The 18,978-nt window shown below is 37.6% G+C and overlaps 1 protein-coding gene across 2 annotated transcripts in view, besides 1 other annotated feature; it reads right to left on the bottom strand.

Moving 5' to 3' along the window:
• Positions 1-14,974, bottom strand: part of ANKRD18B (ankyrin repeat domain 18B) — a 51,192-nt gene extending 36,218 nt beyond the window's left edge. For both annotated transcript variants that reach the window (NM_001353432.2, NM_001393611.1), the window contains exons 1-6: positions 14,530-14,974; positions 10,384-10,498; positions 10,052-10,225; positions 5,680-5,786; positions 4,718-4,855; positions 2,280-2,347 (exon numbers count right to left, since the gene is read on the bottom strand). In NM_001353432.2, the coding sequence (NP_001340361.1) occupies positions 2,280-2,347; positions 4,718-4,855; positions 5,680-5,786; positions 10,052-10,225; positions 10,384-10,498; positions 14,530-14,735 (808 nt within the window). In that variant the 5' untranslated portion in view covers positions 14,736-14,974. The remainder of the gene's footprint in view (positions 1-2,279; positions 2,348-4,717; positions 4,856-5,679; positions 5,787-10,051; positions 10,226-10,383; positions 10,499-14,529) is intronic.
• Positions 15,558-15,607: an enhancer, noted in NCBI's record as "active region_28298". NCBI's record gives its function as "activates an Ori minimal core promoter by ATAC-STARR-seq in GM12878 lymphoblastoid cells {active_cell/tissue: GM12878}" and the evidence as "EXISTENCE:reporter gene assay evidence [ECO:0000049][PMID:35858748]".

Genomic DNA, 18,978 nt, shown 5'->3' with positions numbered 1-18,978 from the left:
GTAAACACTATTTCAGGTAGTAAATAAAATAAATAACAGTGGTAATAACAATCTCCCAACTGTATTTTTAAATGTATTTTGTAACATTGGAAAAATGCTTAGTCTGTAACAGATACATGATAGTTATTATTTAAGTGGACAAGTATTTGAATGAATTAAAATATTTTTCTTAAAAACTCTGTTGAAAAAACACAAAAATTAAATAGTTATCTATATTCTATTATGAGCACCCTAAAGACAAAAACTATGTCAATTCCATCTTTGTCTCCTGCAATTTGCCAAACCTAACTTATAGAAGTGGTTTGATAATTATGTACTAAATTAACGGTGTCTTTATACAGTTCAGATTGTACAATGCATTAGGTGTTACATTTTTGTTATTGTGAACCATTTTTATAATTTTATTATAATTTTTGGAGCCTAGAGTTTGGCTATTGGAATATTTATTATGATTATCTCTTGCCTAATGGTAACAGAGTATTTTTTTTTTTGAGATGGAATCTTGCTCTGTCACCCAGCTGGAGTGCAGTGGTGCATTCCGGTTCACTGCAATCTCCACCTCCTGGGTTCAAGCAATTCTCCTGCCTCAGCCTCCCGAGTAGTTGGGAATACAGGTGCCCACCCCCATGCCTGGCTAATTTTTGTACTTTTAGTAGAGATAGGGTTTCACCATGTTGGTCAGGCTGGTCTCAAACTCCTGACCTCAAGTGATCTGCCTTCCTTGGCCTGCCATGTGCTGGGATTACACATGAGCCACCAGGCCCAGCCTGGTAACAGATTATCTTGTTCCAATAAAATTACTATTATTATGATAATTATCCAGCACATAAAAAAACACAGCTTGTTCTAAGAAGTGAATATATCTCATGAGGTTCCACCTTATGGTGAATAAATTAAAAATAGACCTTGTTTGTATAAGAATATGAAACATAACTTCTGCCTCTTGGAAAGGAATTACTTTTCTGTCTTCTGCATTCAGTAGCTATCTTCAAAAATAATCTCCTATTTGTATGGGTGCACATTAGCTCAGTTTTATGGTTCTTATTGCCATTTGTTTATGGTGTCAGAAAGGGATTGTTGAATTCCTAGTTCTAAAGACAGTTACTTTCTTAGTGACACAAATTCCTGTGTAATGCAGTTGACCCTTGAACAACAAGAGTTTGAACTGCAGGGGTCCACTTATATGCAGATTTTTCTTCTGCTTCTGCAACCCAGAGACAGCAAAACCAACCATTTTCTTCCTCCTCAGCCTAATCAACCTGAAGATGATAAAGATGAAGACTTTTGGGAGGATTCGCTTATGTTTATGAATACTAAGTATATTTTTTTCTTTTCTATGATTTTCTTTATAACAGCTTCATTTCTCTAGCGTACTTTATTCTAAAAGCATAGTATATAATAATGCAACACATACAAATACGTGTTCACTGACTGTTCATGTTATCAGTAAAGTTTCCAGTCAACGGTAGGTTATTAGTAGTTACGTTTGGAAGGAGTCAAAGTTATACTCAGATTTTCAACTCCACAGGGATCAGAGTCCCTAACCCCCGCAATATTCAAGAATCAACTGGAATTAATATTTATTTACTAAATGTAAACCATTTGCTATAAAAATTAAATAGAGGATCCATTTGCATAACAAGTCCAATTCGTAACAATGTAATTACAGAGGAAATTGCAACATATTAACTTAAACTAATTTCTTATTTATATTAATACAAAAATATGTAGAATTTCAGGGATCATAAGTAGGTAAATGAATTTTTTCAGACAATACGGTTTGAGATTGAGAATTAGCTACAACTTCTTAAATAACTCTGAATTCTAAAGAAATTAAATTTAAAAAATTAATTTATATATAAACATATTTTTTTAAACTGCTCTTTTATGATTAAAAATATGTAATCTTACTCTTTTTGTTTTCTTTGGAGATAGAGTCTTGCTCTTCCATCCAGGCTGGAGTGCAGTGGTGCAATCTCAGCTCACTGCAACCTCCACTTCCCAGGTTCAAGTGATTCTCCTGCCTCAGCCTCCCGAGTAGCTGGGATTACAGGCGCCCACCATGATGCCCAGCTAATTTTTGTATTTTTAGTAGACATGGGGTTTCACCATGTTAGCCAGGCTGGTCTCAAAATCCTGACCTCAGGTGATCCACCTGCCTCGGCCTCCCAAAGTGCTGGGATTACAGGTGTGAGCCACCATGCCTGGCCTGTAATTTTGCTTTTTAAAATCAGTAAGATCACCAAGGGAAATGAGAAATTTACTATCAGAAGTCTTACCTTGATTGTCATTTCGAAGATGATTTTTAAGCATCTTATTTTTATGTTCCAAAATTTGTTGTTGGATGCTATGCATAATAAATGTAATAAAATTAGTATTTTAATAGTGATATGAAAAATATTTACCAAACAGATTAAATTCTTAAAGCATTTCAGACAATATCAGAGCTAATATCAGAAATCTAATGTCCAATACACTTTAAAATTTTAAGCTCTATAAACTTATTAAGCTTCTAATTAAACAAGAAAAACAGGAAGTACTCATAAACTGAGAAAAGCATAGCTCAGTAAATTAATTCTAGTTAGCTTAACAGCCTGGAAACTGTCCTGCATTCACAGTAAGTCCTCGCTCTGTAACCAATAGGTATTTTGTTTTCAGATCAGTTGCTTCTCTTAGCCTCCATGGCTTCTTCTAAAAAATCAAGGTTTTACTACTTGACTTCACTAGGTAATTAGGAGGATGCAATGAGAAAACATGTTTAAATGTTCAGAGAAATAGTAAAGCAATGGAAAAATTTATTCTTGAACTGCATTGCTGAAACCATTTTGGAATCTCAAATAAAACCTGATGAGTGTTTTTCCATAGTTTCTAATATTTGAATGTCACAGTTTTCAGAGAATGTTATTAAGTGCTAATTTTGGTTATTAGTTCTATTCATTGTGGCTTGTAGTTCAGAGCATTTTAGCTAGTTCATAACTTGTAACTAAATTTATATACAAATATATTATTATCTCATTAAAACATATACTCTAATTGTCCCCTGTTACTGAGCTCATCAATCACACCAAGGGCAGAAAACTAATAGGTGTCAAAACCTGGCTGGGACAACTACCATTCCTTCTCTACCTCCTCAGACTCAGAGCCAGCAGGTCTGTGTTAGAGGCTGCACCTTTTTGGTCCTCTCCAACTGGCATACAAGACAAAGCCCTGCTTGTATTGTTTTTCAGTTCCATGAAAGAGATGGAAGTTGATGTTTCCTCATTTCCAAGTCATGTACTAACAACATATTTGCATGTAACATCCCGTGTGCTACTCAGCTCTGTTCTCATTTCACAGATCACCTTACATGAATACTTTTATAATGATTTTCATTATAATATAAGAGATTATATAATCTATATATAATATATAGATTATATAATCTATAATAATTATATATAATATTTATAATGATAATATAAATATTAAATATAAAAATATAAAATATAAATAAAATATAAAATAATATAAATATAAAAATAATATAATTACATATAATATACAATAATTATATAATATATAGATTATATAATCTATATGCAATATAATCTCATATAAATATGAGAGATTTTCATTATTATGGAAACACTGTAGCTGTGGGCCGGGTGTGGTGGCTCATGCCTGTAATCACAGCACTTTAGGAGGCCGAGGCAGGTGGATCACAAGGTCAGGAGATCGAGACCATCCTGGCTAACATGGTGAAACCCCGTCTCTACTAAAAATACAAAAAAAATTAGCCAGGGATGGTGGCGGGTGCCTGTAGTCCCAGTTACTCGGGAGGCTGAGGCAGGAGAATAGCGTGAACCCAGGAGGGGGAGCTTGCAGTGAGCCGAGATTGCGCCACTGCACTCCAGCCTGGGCGACTGAGCAAGACTCCATCTCGAAAAAACAAAACAAAACAAAACAAAACACTGTAGCTGTGGACTCTGTGTATGAGTCACCATGAAGAGTGAGGGATCTGAATCAGTAAGGGCATCCTGGTGGCAAAAGTCAATCATTACCAGATTGCAGGACCAGTTACAATGGCAGCAATACAGCAAGTGAATCAATGGAAACAACAGAATGACTAGAATGGCCTTTTCCCCTCTTCTTCTGACTTGTAAAGCAAGATTGTCTTCCTTGGGCTTAGGGAACCCCTTAGCTTTTTGAAAAATTCAAAGGAGGAAGGCATAGGAGGTAGCCCCAGGGGATAATACAAGATTTTCTGCTAAAGTGGACATTTCGAGACCCAATAACTAATTAGAAAAGTCAGGCCAGGCATGGTGGCTAGCAGTTTGCGAGGCCAAGGCAGGAGAATCACTTGAACTCAGGAACATGAGCAACAGAGTGAGACCTTGTCTCAAAAAAAAAAAAAAAAAAAGGAAGAAAGAAAGAAAAAGTAAAAGATGTGACATTATTTCTATCTCATATATAAGAGTTATACTTGGAATAAAATGAACAACACTGACATTCCTAGGGATAAAGGTCTTTAAAAGTCCGGAAAGAATCTTGCACTCATTGCTACTTCTAACTAGTCTAGCTTTCTGTGTGATTTCTGGCTAAGAAGTGGACTAACTTGTTGCCATTCCAAACTACCTCAACCAAACTATGAACTGTCACCTAATGTATAAGATGCAATAGTTATAATTATTTAAAACCTTAATTTAGTATTAACCGGTCTTTTAATATAAGCACATACCTTCTCAAATCACAACAAAAAGCATAATCCTCGGCAGTTTGGCCAAACATGTCTTGAGAAGAGATATGTATATTTTGTTGAAGCAGGAGGGTGACGATACTTGACAAGTTATGCTGTACTGCAAGTATGAGGGCTGTTCTAAAACAATAAAGAAATAACAGCACTCAAGAACTTTGATAAAGATATTTAATTAGCAAATTGGATACACTTTACCAATTTCATATCTTGCCTGTCAGGATAGACATAATAACCATTTACATGTACTAGCTTATGTGTATAAGCATCTTGGGTGCTCAAGTGTTCATCTTGTTAAATTACCACCAAGGCTAAAAGGCAGGGACAACAAGCAAGCTTCGTGTCCCATTGGGATATGATGTAATACGAATTGCTAATTTATAGTCCTTTGATGGCCAAGAAACTGTGCTGAGGTCACTTATTGAAAGTGGGCAAAGATTTAGGTGAAGATTTTCCCATTGCTTTCCCATTGCTTCGAATTATATTGTAATTCAAAGTCAGCTAGGGATCAAATAAGTAAGAGCTATCTGCAGGCTGAAAACAACAGCATCAACAACAACAGCAACAACTATAATAATAATAATAATAATAATAATAATAATAATAATGATAATGGTAATAGTAGTAGTTGTAAACTGAAAGTTAAAGTCTACACTTCATAAAATTAATAAAATACAAAACCCCTTTAGCTAATATAAGATTACAGGACAAAAACATCAAATTACAAATAACAGTCTATAAGAGAAGATGAATCCTACTATATACTGTTTTTTATGTTGCTTAGTCCAAATAACTTCTTTTCTACCTGATTATTCATGTTATTTTTTACTATATGCCAATAATTATAAGTTTAATCTTATTAACATTTCTGACTTGAGCGACTGTTACCACTCTAGAACACTCAGGTTTTTAGGAAAAAAGAAAACAGAAAACAAAAACTATTGCACCTTTTGAAATTGTCAACGGCATGTATATTTGCCTGGTTCTTCAATAAAAATTCCACCATATGCTGTCTCCTGGAATTTATAGCAAACAAAAGTGGAGTGTTTCCCTCCTGTAAGAAAGCAAAAACAATTTATAATTCACAAAATTACATATTTCTCCACTGAACTAAAAATCTTCTATAAGATGCTATGAACTTAAACATGCAATATAGACAGAAAGTAAATGCAAAGCAGTCCCGTCCCTTTCACTCCTCTGTGCTTTCCCACACACTGCCTTGAAACACCCCTCCTCTGCCTCCCCATGTTAACTTCGGTCATCTCCAAAACTCACTTTATTTACCAGTCCCAAAAATCCTTGCTTCTATCTCAGCATTTAGCACAGTCCATTGTAATTATTTCATTGTTTCCCACTGAAACCAAGAGATTCTCAAGGGCAAGGGCTGTATCTTTTTTCTCTATAACCCTAAAACCTAAGACATAGTAGCGAATGCTTTAAGTTTTTAAAATAAATTAATGATCTAAATTATTACCTCTAGAGAAGTGTTTCTTAAACTATATTTCAAAGAGTAGTTGTTTTACCGAAAGAACTGTACCCTAACAAAAAGATTCCATGATCATCTGCATTTGAGAAGTATTACAAAACTATATTACATGGCCAACAATCTAGAAATCCCTTGAACTTTGCCTAATCTCAGTTTGACAATACTTTTTGTGGCAAACATTAACATTTTAGGAACTAGAGTTTCAGGGATACAGTTGCCAGAGCTTCCCAATACAAGTGGAGGTTTCCTCTGGGTGGCACAAACTTGCTTGATTTACTTCTATCAATGGTCTCAGGATGCCAATGTCAGGCACTCCTGATCCAAAGGGGCCACTAAGGAAATGAGCTCTGAATTAAGAGAGATTGGCTTCAAATGCACTTATTTTCCTTATTATTAAATACTCCATGGGATTTCTCCTAATGCAAGAGGATAGATTTTTATCTTAACTATTAGAAAGCTCAGTATATTCTGTGTAAGAGAGACCAGTGAAAATTTTTTGAAAATAAATATTAAAAAGCAAAGCTCAGTAAGAAATTCTATTCTCAATTATAATGATAATCCTGGGACATTAATGCAACTTTACTTTTTAAATCCATTTGTATTGATTTCCATTTAAATTGCTATTTAACATTATTTTTTTACTTTAGGCAAAATATAAATCAGAAATAAAAATACAATGGCTTATCAAAAAAAGTTCTAATACTGATGTATAGGGCTTGTTTCTAGCATAATAAGAGCCAATAAGTCACTTGCACTTTTTTTCTTTTTTTTTGGAAATGGGGTCTCACACTGTCGCCCAGGCTGGAGTGCAGTGGCATGATCTCTGCTCACTGCAAGCTCCACCTCCCGAGTTCATGCCATTCTCCTGCCTCAGCCTCCCAAATAGCTGGAACTACAGGCACCTGCCACCACACCTGGCTAATTTTTTGTATTTTTAGTAGAGTTAGGGTTTCACCGTGTTAGCCAGGATGGTCTCCATCTCCTGACCTCGTGATCTGCCCTCCTCGGCCTCCCAAAGTGCTGAGATTACAAGCATGAGCCATCGCATCCAGCTGTCACTTGCATTTTTAAGGGACATTGCTGAGAAGAAAGATATAATGTCTGCAATATTCATAATCTATCCACTTCTCAGCAGGAATAACCTAAAAGGGCTTCTAGGCATTCTTATGAGCAGATGACTATTTGTGGTATAGATATAAAAAAAGAGTTAAAAAAACTTCTGAATTCTAAAATTCAACTCTATAATTGAGGGATTTATATAAACTATAGACTATATATTATGAACCAATATATGCTGTCTTGAAAACCTTGAAATCTTTATGAAAATATACTATAAAAAAGGAGTTGTAAACTCAAATACTTATAAGGATGAAGGAGGTTACCTAAGTAAGTGAAGTACTCAGGTGGGCACAGTAGCAAACTGGAGAATATGTGCCTCCTACCCAGGGCAACCTCTGCGCAGCAGACCAAGCAGTGATGTGGTTCTGGGGACACCAGATTTGTTTCTTAAGCCTGAGGTCCAGACTTCTGCATGAGTCCACTAAAGTTTACATGTTGACTCAATTCAAAGAGGCAAAGAACAAATCTATACACCACATTTAGACTATAGCTCTTGTGTTTTTATATTTGCTATGAATGTGTTGCTAAATGATTGTGTATAAACCAAGTATTTGCATGTGGAACTTTTTCTCTGTCTAGTATCGTATGTTTAATAAAAAAACTCAGGCCCTGATATATACATAATAAAAATTGCTGTTAACACTCATAATACCCACCTCAAGAATTTTCCCAACATTTATTCATTTGCAATCTATGTGTATATAATTTTCCCAGATTGTTAACCAAATAGACAATTAGTTCATAGGAATGCTGAAACTAAATTATTAAAAGAATTCCTATTGCATTCTCACTGACTTCAAGGATTTCAGTGTTTAAAACTGACATCCCGATAATGCCAAAGCTCTATAACCTTAACAGACATACTGAGATAGTCCCTAATACAACTGCAACTGAAAAAAAAAGGTTCAAGATTTGCTACTGATCTAACTGAGAAAATCTCACTTGTAATGAACATTTGTTGATACATAATCACTTGAATGGTGACAAAGGAACATGAAATTGTGAAAGGGTCAGCCTCTACTTATTGAAAGATTACCCACAAGTAAATTGCTAAAGACTTTCTGAATGGCAGTGAATGATTCATGGTGGGAAGCAAAAAGTGTCATTCTGTAAGCTGAGTGATATTGCCAATGATATTTCCTTTCACTTCCCAGTCACAAACGTAGAGAAAGACAGATAAGTCAGTTTAATGTTATTGGAAAAGAGAACTTTGAAGAAAGTAGCACCTATCAAATGCCAACTCTTTTAGAGATTTCTTATGTCTTTGAGATACGGGAATTTATATCCTGCACTTATCTATTCTGTGCTTCTTAATCAGGAGTGTATTCGAACACTGAGGTTTTTTTTTTTTTTTTTTTTTGCTCTTGTTGTGGTAAGAGACAAGAGTCTTACTATGTATTTTTAGTAGAGACGGGGTTTCACCGTGTTAGCCAGGATGGTCTCCATCTCCTGACCTCGTGATCTGCCCGCCTCAGGCTGGACTCAAACTCCTAGGCTCAAGCAATCCTCCCACCTCAGCCTCCTGAGTAGCTGGGACTACAGGAACATGCCACTGTGCATGGCTTCAAGAAAATATTTTTAACCATACATGTTCAGAACTTATTAGATCTATTACATCAAAATCCTCAGGGGAAAGCCTACACTTGTAGACTTTTAACAAAATTTCCCCAGGTCATTGTAATGCACAATCCTAGCTGAGAAATACTGCAGCAGACAATCACTTCAGTTTCATCTCTCACCCACATGGCCAATATCCTTTATCAACTTGGGATGTGGCCAGAGAGAAGAGTATGAGATAGAGTTATGTATTAAAACTCCAATTAATTTTCCTGGGTGTGGGTATAACAGGGACAAGTAAACTCAAAATCCCAGTTGATTTTGCTATTTATAAGCTGCTTATCTCCCACATTCCCATCAAGATATTCTAGATTTGAAAGGAGAGTTTAGACTCTTATCTAAGTGGCTGTTTTTGCCGGGATGGGTAATAAATCAGTTACTAATTTGTTCCACCCTTTGCTGAAGTGTTTCTCACTTCATCACCGTATATTCACTGCCAATCTGTTTTCCTCAGAGTCCTCTAAAAATTAATCTTTAGGCAAGTTTCAGTCACTCTTTTTACCAAACCAAAAATGATTACCCCAAAGCTGAAGAGCGCTTTGTCTCAATACATAAACTGGAAAAACAACAAACTAAAAAACAAAACCTATTCTTGGCATTTTCCCTCATTACCTAATTTCCAAGTGACCTGCATGTTTTTGATTGCTCTCCTTTTCCCTTCCTATTTTTCCGTCTTAAACCTTGCCCATGAAAGATACATCCATTTTGTTAGAAAACCATCAGCAGCAATACTTCTATTTATTGTAAGTTGCTTTAGTTTTGAGTTTTAAGATAAAGCCTATTTCCAGGGCAATTTTTTTCCTGTGATGTTTTCACACTAATTAGAAAAAAAATACACCTGGGGTAGGAAACAAATACTTGAAAAGAAGAAGTTTTACCTTAACAAATTCACAAATACTTCCCATAAGTGCACTAAAATAGCTGTGCCCTCTAATGCTCCTTTAAAAGTATCAACATTTAAAGTAAAATTTTAGACAATTAAGTTATTTCAAAACATTTTCATTCAGGAATACTTGAGTTCCAAATATGAAAAATTGACTCTTACCTATGTCAATATTAAAACAAACATTTTGAAAAGAAAGTTGATTGATCTGTACCTTGTTTAGTGCTTCAATATTTGCATGGTGGGAAAGCAGTCTTTCTGCCAGTGAAGTCCCCTCATTATACACGGCATAATGGAGAGCAGTGTTGCCGTAGATATCCTTAATGTTTGGATTGGCGCCACGTTTCAGGAGAATAATGGCACAAGCCTCTTCCTGGCAGTGTACAGCCTATTAGTGTTAGATAAAAAACTAGACTATAAATTCTAAGAATTCAAAATACATATTCCACAGGTTTCACCAACTAGCTATATTTAAATGAGACAAATTCATTTTAATTCTATGTATTTAAATCAAATCCATTTCATGCTGAGTTGGCTACTATATACCTTCATTAAAGGTGTCCTGTTTAGTCTGTCACAGATGTTGATCTGGCATTTTCTGTCCAGCAAGAGAGTGACCACTTGCACACGGCCATGGGCACAGGCCAAATGTAGAACAGTCCTAGGAGAGCGAGAGGGGTTTTCAGGAAATGTAGTGCAATATCTCAAAACCTACAATGGTTCATGTCATTGTAAACATTGAATGGCATTATTCCTCTGCCTTCAAAACAAATAATTTTCTTTTGAAGAAAGTACAATATTTATTAGCTCTTACTGCTCCCTACCTTAATGAAACAGCAGCCTATTTGGATAGAATGAGCTTGGTGTTTGGATTCAGCTTAACTAGGGCTTGAGTTCTACTTTGAACTCGGTCACCTACCAGCTATTGCTTAGCCTTTCTGTGCCTGAATTTCCTCATTAATAAAGATGACAACAGCAGCTAGCTCACAGGACACCACTGTGATGCTTAAATGAAAATCTTCATAAAGCATTTAGAACTGTTTCCAGAACAAGCAACAACTCAATAACTGTTAGACTTTTGTTTGTTGAGACAGGGTCTTGCTCTCTTGCCCAGGCTGGAGTGCAATGGTGTATTTATGCCTCACTGCAGCCTGGCACTTGTAGGCTCAAACAAACCTCCTGCCCCAGCCTCCTGAATAGCTGGGACCACAGGAGTGCACCAGCATGATCAGCTAATTTTTAAATTTTTTTTGTAGAGTAGGAATGTCACCTTGTTGCCCAGGCTGGTCTCAAACTCCTAGCATCATGGGAACTTCCCACCTCAGCCTTCCAAAGTTCTAGAATGACAGGTGTGAGCCACGCACCCAGCCAGACGTTATAATTATATTACTACTATTTAACAAAAACATTTTAATTAAGTAAAATGATACAATTATTGCTATTTTGCAGGATGATTTAAAGATTAGGTCACATTTTAGCATATCTCATATTGGAGCGGTATTTACAATTCATAATTTTTTATAACTATAATTGGTAGCATTTAAAAATCATCTCATTAATGTAGAAAATAGTAGGATATCACACAATCCATGAGGCCTTACATTAAGTAGAATACTGTATACACAGCAGGTCTAGGGCCGTTCTAGGCATCTAACTGACACTTAAATACATTTTAATTCCTAAAAGTACCATGGGGAAAGAGCACTGAAATAACAACATATTTTTTAAACAAATTACTTCTTACTTTGATTTTTAAAAACATGCAGCTGGCCGGGCGCGGTGGCTCACGCCTGTAATCCCAGCATTTTGGGAGGCCAAGGCGGGTGGATCTCTAGGTCAGGAGTTCAAGACCAGCCTGACCAACATGGTGAAACTCTGTCTCTACTAAAACTACAAAAATTAGCTGGGCGTGGTGGCAGGCACCTGTAATCCCAGCTACTCGGGAGGCTGAGGCAGGATAATCGCTTGAACCTTGGCAGCAGAGGTTGCAGTGAGCTGAGATCACGCCACTGCACTCCAGCCTAGGCGACAGAGTGAGACTCTGTCGCAAAAAGAAAACAAACAAACAAACAAACAAAAAAAGAAACATGAAGCTAAAGGAAACTCATGATTGAGATGAATAGGTATGGCTCATTTTAGTCAACACTTAAGATTTACAGAATATATGCAAATCAGACTTTCCAATGATTAATATTAGTATTTAAGACTGATAAATTTTCAAAAGGGCAGTTAAAGGTTATCTCTTATTGTTTTCTACCTTCAGAAATGCTTTTGCTTGAAAGGTGGGAGAAAAAGCTTCAATGAGATTAAGTCCTACTATTCCCATTTTAAATCTCTCATCTTGCTCAGGCAGAACAGGTAAACATAAAGTTTTTAAGTATGGAAGCATCCTGAGAGATAGTGCAAAATGTCTGCTACATAACATATTCAGGTTATGTTTGATGAATAAATGGATTGATAGAATACAGTTGGGGAGCTCAAAATTTTTAAATACAACTTCTATAAACCAATATTTTTGTGATAGTAATAATATTTGCTATTTGTTATTTTGATAAGACAACTATAATGAAATGATTAATCTATCAGTTTGCCTATATGTAATGAATCTATACATAAGAAAAACATATATACATAATAAAGTATATACATAAAATCTGCAAGCACAGATAAAAAGATTCCCTTTTTACTTCTGAAGAAGCTAAAAGTTCAAACAAGATAACAACCCTCACAATAATGATAAAAAATAGTGAGAAATTATTTTTATCTGTACAAGATTCACATTTCTCTCTTCCCAAAATTTATTCCATTAATAATAAATTTTTACTAGAAATTTTATAAATGCTCACTTCAGAAATCAAAGGTAAGAAAAAGGAACAAAAAACTTTAAAATACAAATGCTCAGAAGTTACAAATTTTATCCTATTTTGTGCATAGTTTTGCCTAACACAAGACCATAGTATGTTTGTGTGTATGTGCAAGCAAACTGATTTGTTTTTCCTCACTGGCTGTAACAAAATGCATCTTCACATATCAACATACTTCTCCACCTATTGCCACCTTCAATGGCCACATACCCATTCTATGGGTTCTTGTTAACATAAATGCTGGGGAAAAAAAGTGCATGTATCTGTATTTTCTGAAGGTATTTTAATACAATGGAGTTGATGGGTAAAGGGCATATACATTTTTAAAATGTGGTAATTATCTCCAAATTATCCACTTGAAAAGTCATCAGCAACTTACACTTCAAGCAGCAGTGTAAGTGCCACTGCTCTTTATTCTCACAAACACTGTGGATAGAAAACAGTCTCATTCCTCTTTTAACTTAAATTCTCTTAGGAGAAACACTAAGGATTTTTTCCTATGTAAATAAGTAACTTGTGGATCTGCAAAAAGTACTTTGCTCACTGTTAGAGTTCTTTTCTTGTGGATTTGATTGGAAAGAATTCCCTGTAAAATAAAGATGTGCTTTTTATCTGTATATATGTATAACTGATATATATAACATTATGTTACTAATATATACAATTTGTTATACATATAATCAGTAATATATATATTATATTTAATAAAGAATAAATTCCCTGTAGGATGAAGATACACTTTTCATCTGAATATATATTTTTATATATTAGTAAAAATATATATAGTAAATATTTTTCAAGTGTGTTATCTTTTGTTAATTTTTTTCTGATACACAGGGGATTTTAATTTTAGTTTGCTAAATCAACCTTCAGAATGCCTGCTTGTGAGGTCATTCTTAGGAAGGCCACTGTTAACGTAAAATGTACCTGTATAAATAAGTCTTTGTGTTTTCTTCTGGTATTTTTCTAATTTTGCATATGTAAAAATTTCAGTCTGTATTCCATCAGGAACTCATTTTTGTGACATAAAATTTCATTAGTTTTCTTCACACAGCAGGCATTTTATTAATAACTCGTCCTTTCCTACTCATCTGAAATGTTACCATTATCAATCCCTATGTATATATCTTACATATATTTCAGTGTTTTTGGATTTCCTATTCTGTTCCATTTATTTATATGTGTTTGTAGCTGTTAGTAAATAATTAATTGTGGGAATTAATAGCACGTTTTGATATCTAGAGGAGCAAGTCGTTTTTCACTCCATCATAAACATTTTAAAATGTCATCACAATGGTAAGACAGACAGCAAGTGTCATGCAAAAATGATAAAACCTTGATATTTTCATTCGGTTTATGTAAAACTGATAAACATATTAAGAGCTCACATTTTGAGAAAACTGAGTCTTCTCATTCAAGGAACCCACCTCCCACTTCCAAGTGTCCCTCTAAGAAGCCCCAGTAAAGAACCTATCTACCTAGGTGGATTTGGATGTAAAACCGACACAGGGTTTTATCTGAGAACTCTTCGCCTACTGAAAATGGCTCATGGTATTTTTGACATGGGAATGAGTTCTCATTAGGCACCTCCCTATCATGTATATGGCTCCATGTTTTAAACGTAGATATGCTTAACTTTGTGAGTTAAATCACTCCAATTATCCACCAAGCGCTACAGGCGGGAAATTCCCAGCGATGGAAAGCAGCTGAGGCTCCATTTGGCTCCGCGGCTCCCAGGGTCCCGGCGAACTCCGACGACCCCGCCTCAGGCGGTGCGGGGAAACCGGGCCTGGGGGCCCCCTCCCACCGAGGGCTGAGCCCCCGCTACCTGTCTTTTCTGTCGCGGACGTCCAAGTCCCGGAACCTGCGCGTCAGGCAGTGCTCCACCTCTGCGGCGTCGCCCTTGATGGCCGCCCTGTGGATCTTCCGCAGTTCCCAGTCCCGAATGTGGTACCCCCGACCCGCATACTCTTGGTCCATGGAGCTCAGGAGCGCCTGGCCCAGGCGTCTCCCAAAACTGAGGAGCTTCCTCATGGTGGCGACTTCTCAGATGCCCACCACCCGCTCCTGAGACGCCGCGGCTCCTCGTGGCCTTTCCACCCCCACCCAGCTCCAAATTCGAGATCCCCCTCCCCACCCAGCGATCCACCCCTAAATCCAAGATGCACCCCCAAACCCGCGATGTAGCTCAGAATCCGCGATCCAGCCCGGTCCACTACAGCCTTCAGCAGCGACACTCGCAGCCTCCGACCTCTCGATAGAGTGAGCCCAGTAAAGCGGTTAGGCGCGCGCCTACAGCTCAGCGCCAGCCCGGACTCCGGAAGGCGCCCTCGAGCTCGCGTGGCCCGCAGAGGGTGACTGCAGCTCGGGCTCAGGCGCCGCTGGCTTGCGGGTTCTCCTGGGCTGGCGCGGGACGTTCCGGAATCTCAGGCGCGCATCCCTTCCCGCCTGGCCGTGACTCCCGCCCCTCTTCTCCGAAGAGAGATCGGGGCCGCTCCAGGGACCGTCCGCGGGGATGGGGCTGAGGGTCGGTTCCTGCCCCGGTGCAGCCGCCGCCGGGCAGACCGCCTGGCTTGGCCGCAGCCACGGCGACATCTAGCCCCGGTTCTGCGAGGCTGGGCGCGCCAGCCAGCTTGGGAGTTGCCCGGCGCCTGTAGCTGGGCGCCCAGGTGGTGGAGCATGGCCTGGGCGGCCTCTGGATCGCGGGTGCCCCTGGCCTGAGAGCCCGCCAGACCCTGCCCCCTCCCGGCTCCTCCTCTGCCAGAGCTCGAGACCTCTAGCCAGGGGCCCTCTGCAGCCACCGGGGATGGGGCTGAGGGCCGGTTCCCGCCCCCGTGCAGCTGCTGCAGGGCAGACCGCCTGGCTCGGCCGCAGCCACAGGGACATCTGGCCCTGCTTCCGAGATGTGGGGAGTGCGGGCGGGCCCAGGAGTTGCCTAGAGGCTGCTGCCTGCACACAGAGGGCGACTGCAGCTTGGGCGCCCAGGCAGCGGAGCATGGTCTGGGTGGCCTCTGGAATGCGTGCGCGCCAGGCCTGAGGGCCCCCCTGGTGGTGCCACCTGCCCTGGTCTTCCTCTGCCTGAGCCTGGAGCAGCTGAAATGGCCACTCTGCAGTCACAGGGGATAGAGTTAAGTTTTCTTATCCCACGCATGCACACGAAAAGGTAACTATTCTGTGAGGTAATTAACATGTTCATTGACTTCATTTTGGTAATCATTTCAGAATGTGCATATAAACGCATCACATGTACAATTTTTATTTCTCTATTACACCTCAGTAAAGCTGAAATAATTAACAGGATTGAAAGGATAAACCCACAGTTCTATAGTCACAGTTGGACACTTCAATACCTCATTTTAATTAATGGATAGAAAAACCAGACAGAAGCTTCATGAGAAATACAAGACTTAAACAACAGTAGAAGCCACTGAGAGCTAATACACATATACAGAACAGTCCATCCCAACAACAGCAGAATATACATTCTTTTCAAGTTATGTGGAACTTTCTCTAGGATAGGCCATATCTTCATCCACAAAATATGTCCTAATCATTTTTAAAAGTTTGAAATCATACAAAATATAATTTACAACCACAATGGAAGAAACAACAGATAAATAAGTGAAAACTGGAAAATTCATGAAAATGTGGAAATTAAACAATACAGTCTTCAACTACCAGTGAGTGAAAAAATAAATTACAAGCAAAATTATAAAATATCTTGAGACAAATTAAAATAAAAACAAAACATACCAAAACTTATTGAATGCAGTGAAAGTAGAGTTCAAAGGAAAATGTATGGATATAAACAACTACATTTTAAGAAAAAATCTCAAATCAATATCCGCACTCTATACCTAAAGGCAGTGGAAGAAAACAAAAAAAGACTAAATCCAAAGCTAGCAGAAGGAAAGAAATAATAAAGAGCATAATTAGAGCATAAATCAATAAAATAAAAGGTTGGAGAGCAGTAGAATAAATAAACATAGATTCTTTGAAAGATCAAGCCTTTCACTATATTGACTGAGCAAAAGATGGAAGACTAATTATTAAAATAATAAATGAAAGCAGAGCCATTACTACCAACTTTACAGAAATACAAAAGGATTACAGGAGTATACTGTGAACAACTGTCCAACAACAAATTAGGTGCCCTGGATGAAATGGACAAATCACTAGAAAGACATAAACTACCAAAGTGGCTCCAGAAAAAAGAGAAAATCTGAATAGACCTATAACCTAGGAGACTGAATTAGTAATCAAAAGCGATTATTTGTTATTCATTAATAAAATGCAAGACAAAACCAAAATGAGATGCCACTTTGCATCCACTAGTAAGGCTTTCATAACAACGACACAGAAAATAAATGTTGCTAAGGAGGTGGAGAAATTGGAGCCCTCGTGAACTGGCTGCTAGGAATAGAAAATGATGCACTTGCTGTGGAAAACAATTTGGTGGTTCCTCACAGAATCACACGGAGAACCAGAAATTCCACTCCTAGGCATTATTCACACACAAAAAATTGGCAGCAGGGTCTGGAACAGATATTTTTACACCGAAGTTAATTGCAGCATTATTTGTTATAGCCAAAAGGCAGAGACAACCCGTGTCCATCAACAAATGAATGGATACACAAAATATGATACATAAATAATAGAATATTATTCAGCCATTAAAGAGGATGAAGTTCTGATACATGCAACATGGGTGAAACTTGGAAACATGATGCTGAGTGAAGTAAGCCAGACACGAAAGGACAGATGTTCTATTATTCCACTGATATGAAATATCTAGAATAGGCAAATTTGTGAAAATAGAATGAAGATTAGTGTTTCCCAGAGACTGGGGAGAGGGAGCAAGGCTGAGTTATTGTTTAATGGGTACTTTATTTCTGTTTGTGATAGAAATGAAGATGCTGGTTATACAAAACTGGGAATGTACTTAATGCTGCTGAATTATATACTTAAATTTAAAATTTTAACACAATTTAAAAATTTAAATATAGATCTGAGAATTATTCCTATATCCATTTTTATTTAAAAGTTATTTGCTCAATTGCCAAATATTAAGGTTTTTCTGAATATATTTTTGTTATTGACTTAATGTAGTCCTATTTTGCTCAGAGTACAAACTCTGAGCAAAATTTTGATTTATGATTTAAATCCTTTTATATTTATTGAGAATTATTTTATGGTCCAGTATTTAATCTATCTTGATTAATGTTCCACATACACTTGAAAAGCAGATCTGATGATCGTCACCTTTACTCTGTTGATGTCTGTTTCACACATTTTGAAGTTTCACTAGGTTCACCCATTTAAGATTGTTAATTTTATGAACTGGCCTATTTTGATTATGACTCGACACCTTTATCTTTGGCAGTACTCCTGTTCTGAAGACTTTATCTAATATTAATATGGGCACACCAACTCTTTTAGGATTAGTATTTGCATGGCACATTTACATCTATACTTTTGCCTAAATGTTGTGTCTGTATCTAAAATGTGGTTCTTGTGAGCAGCATAGTGTTGGGTCTTGTTTATTTATTTACTGTTTAATCTCATCTGAAAATCTGAACTTTGAAATTGAGATATCCAGTCCTTCTATATTTATGTATTAGAAACAGGGTCTGGCTCGGTCACACAGGCTGGGCTGCAGTGGCATGATCATAGCTCATTGCAACTTTGAACTCCTAGAGTCAAAGGATCCTCTCACCTCAGCCTCCTGAGTAGCTAGGAACGCAGGGATATGGCACTGTGCCTGGCTAATTTTTTATTATTTAAATTTTTTTTTTGCAGACACAGGATCTCACTATGTTGCCAGGGCTGGTCTCAAACTCCTGGTCTCAAGTCATCTTCCCACCTCAGCTCCCAGAGTGCTGGGGTTACACGCGTGAGCTATGAAGGCTGGGCCCTTTTATATTTAATGTAATGGTTGAAATGACTAGATTTAAGTGTACCCTGTTGCTATCTGTTTTCTGTCTCTGTTTCTTTTTTTCTTGATTCTTTCTTTAGTGTGATTATTTTTTAGTCTTCTGTTTTCTCTCTTCTGCTGGCTTTTTAGCTATATCTGTTTGTTTCAATTTTTTAAATTGTTAGTTGAAAGATTACAATACATAGGCCGGATGTATTGTGGCTCACACCTGTAATCCCAGCACTTTGGGAGGCCGAGGCCTGCAGATCACATGAGGCCCAAAGTTCAAGACCACCCTGGCCAATATGGTGAAACCCTGTCTCTGCTAAAAATACAAACCAATCCAGGTGTGGTGGCGTGCTC

Source organism: Homo sapiens, chromosome 9 (genome assembly GCF_000001405.40).
Source record: "Homo sapiens chromosome 9, GRCh38.p14 Primary Assembly".
NCBI classification, from domain to species: domain Eukaryota; kingdom Metazoa; phylum Chordata; class Mammalia; order Primates; family Hominidae; genus Homo; species Homo sapiens.
The sequence above is the reverse complement of the archived record's forward strand: the minus strand, read 5'-3'. Positions and strand labels throughout refer to the sequence as shown.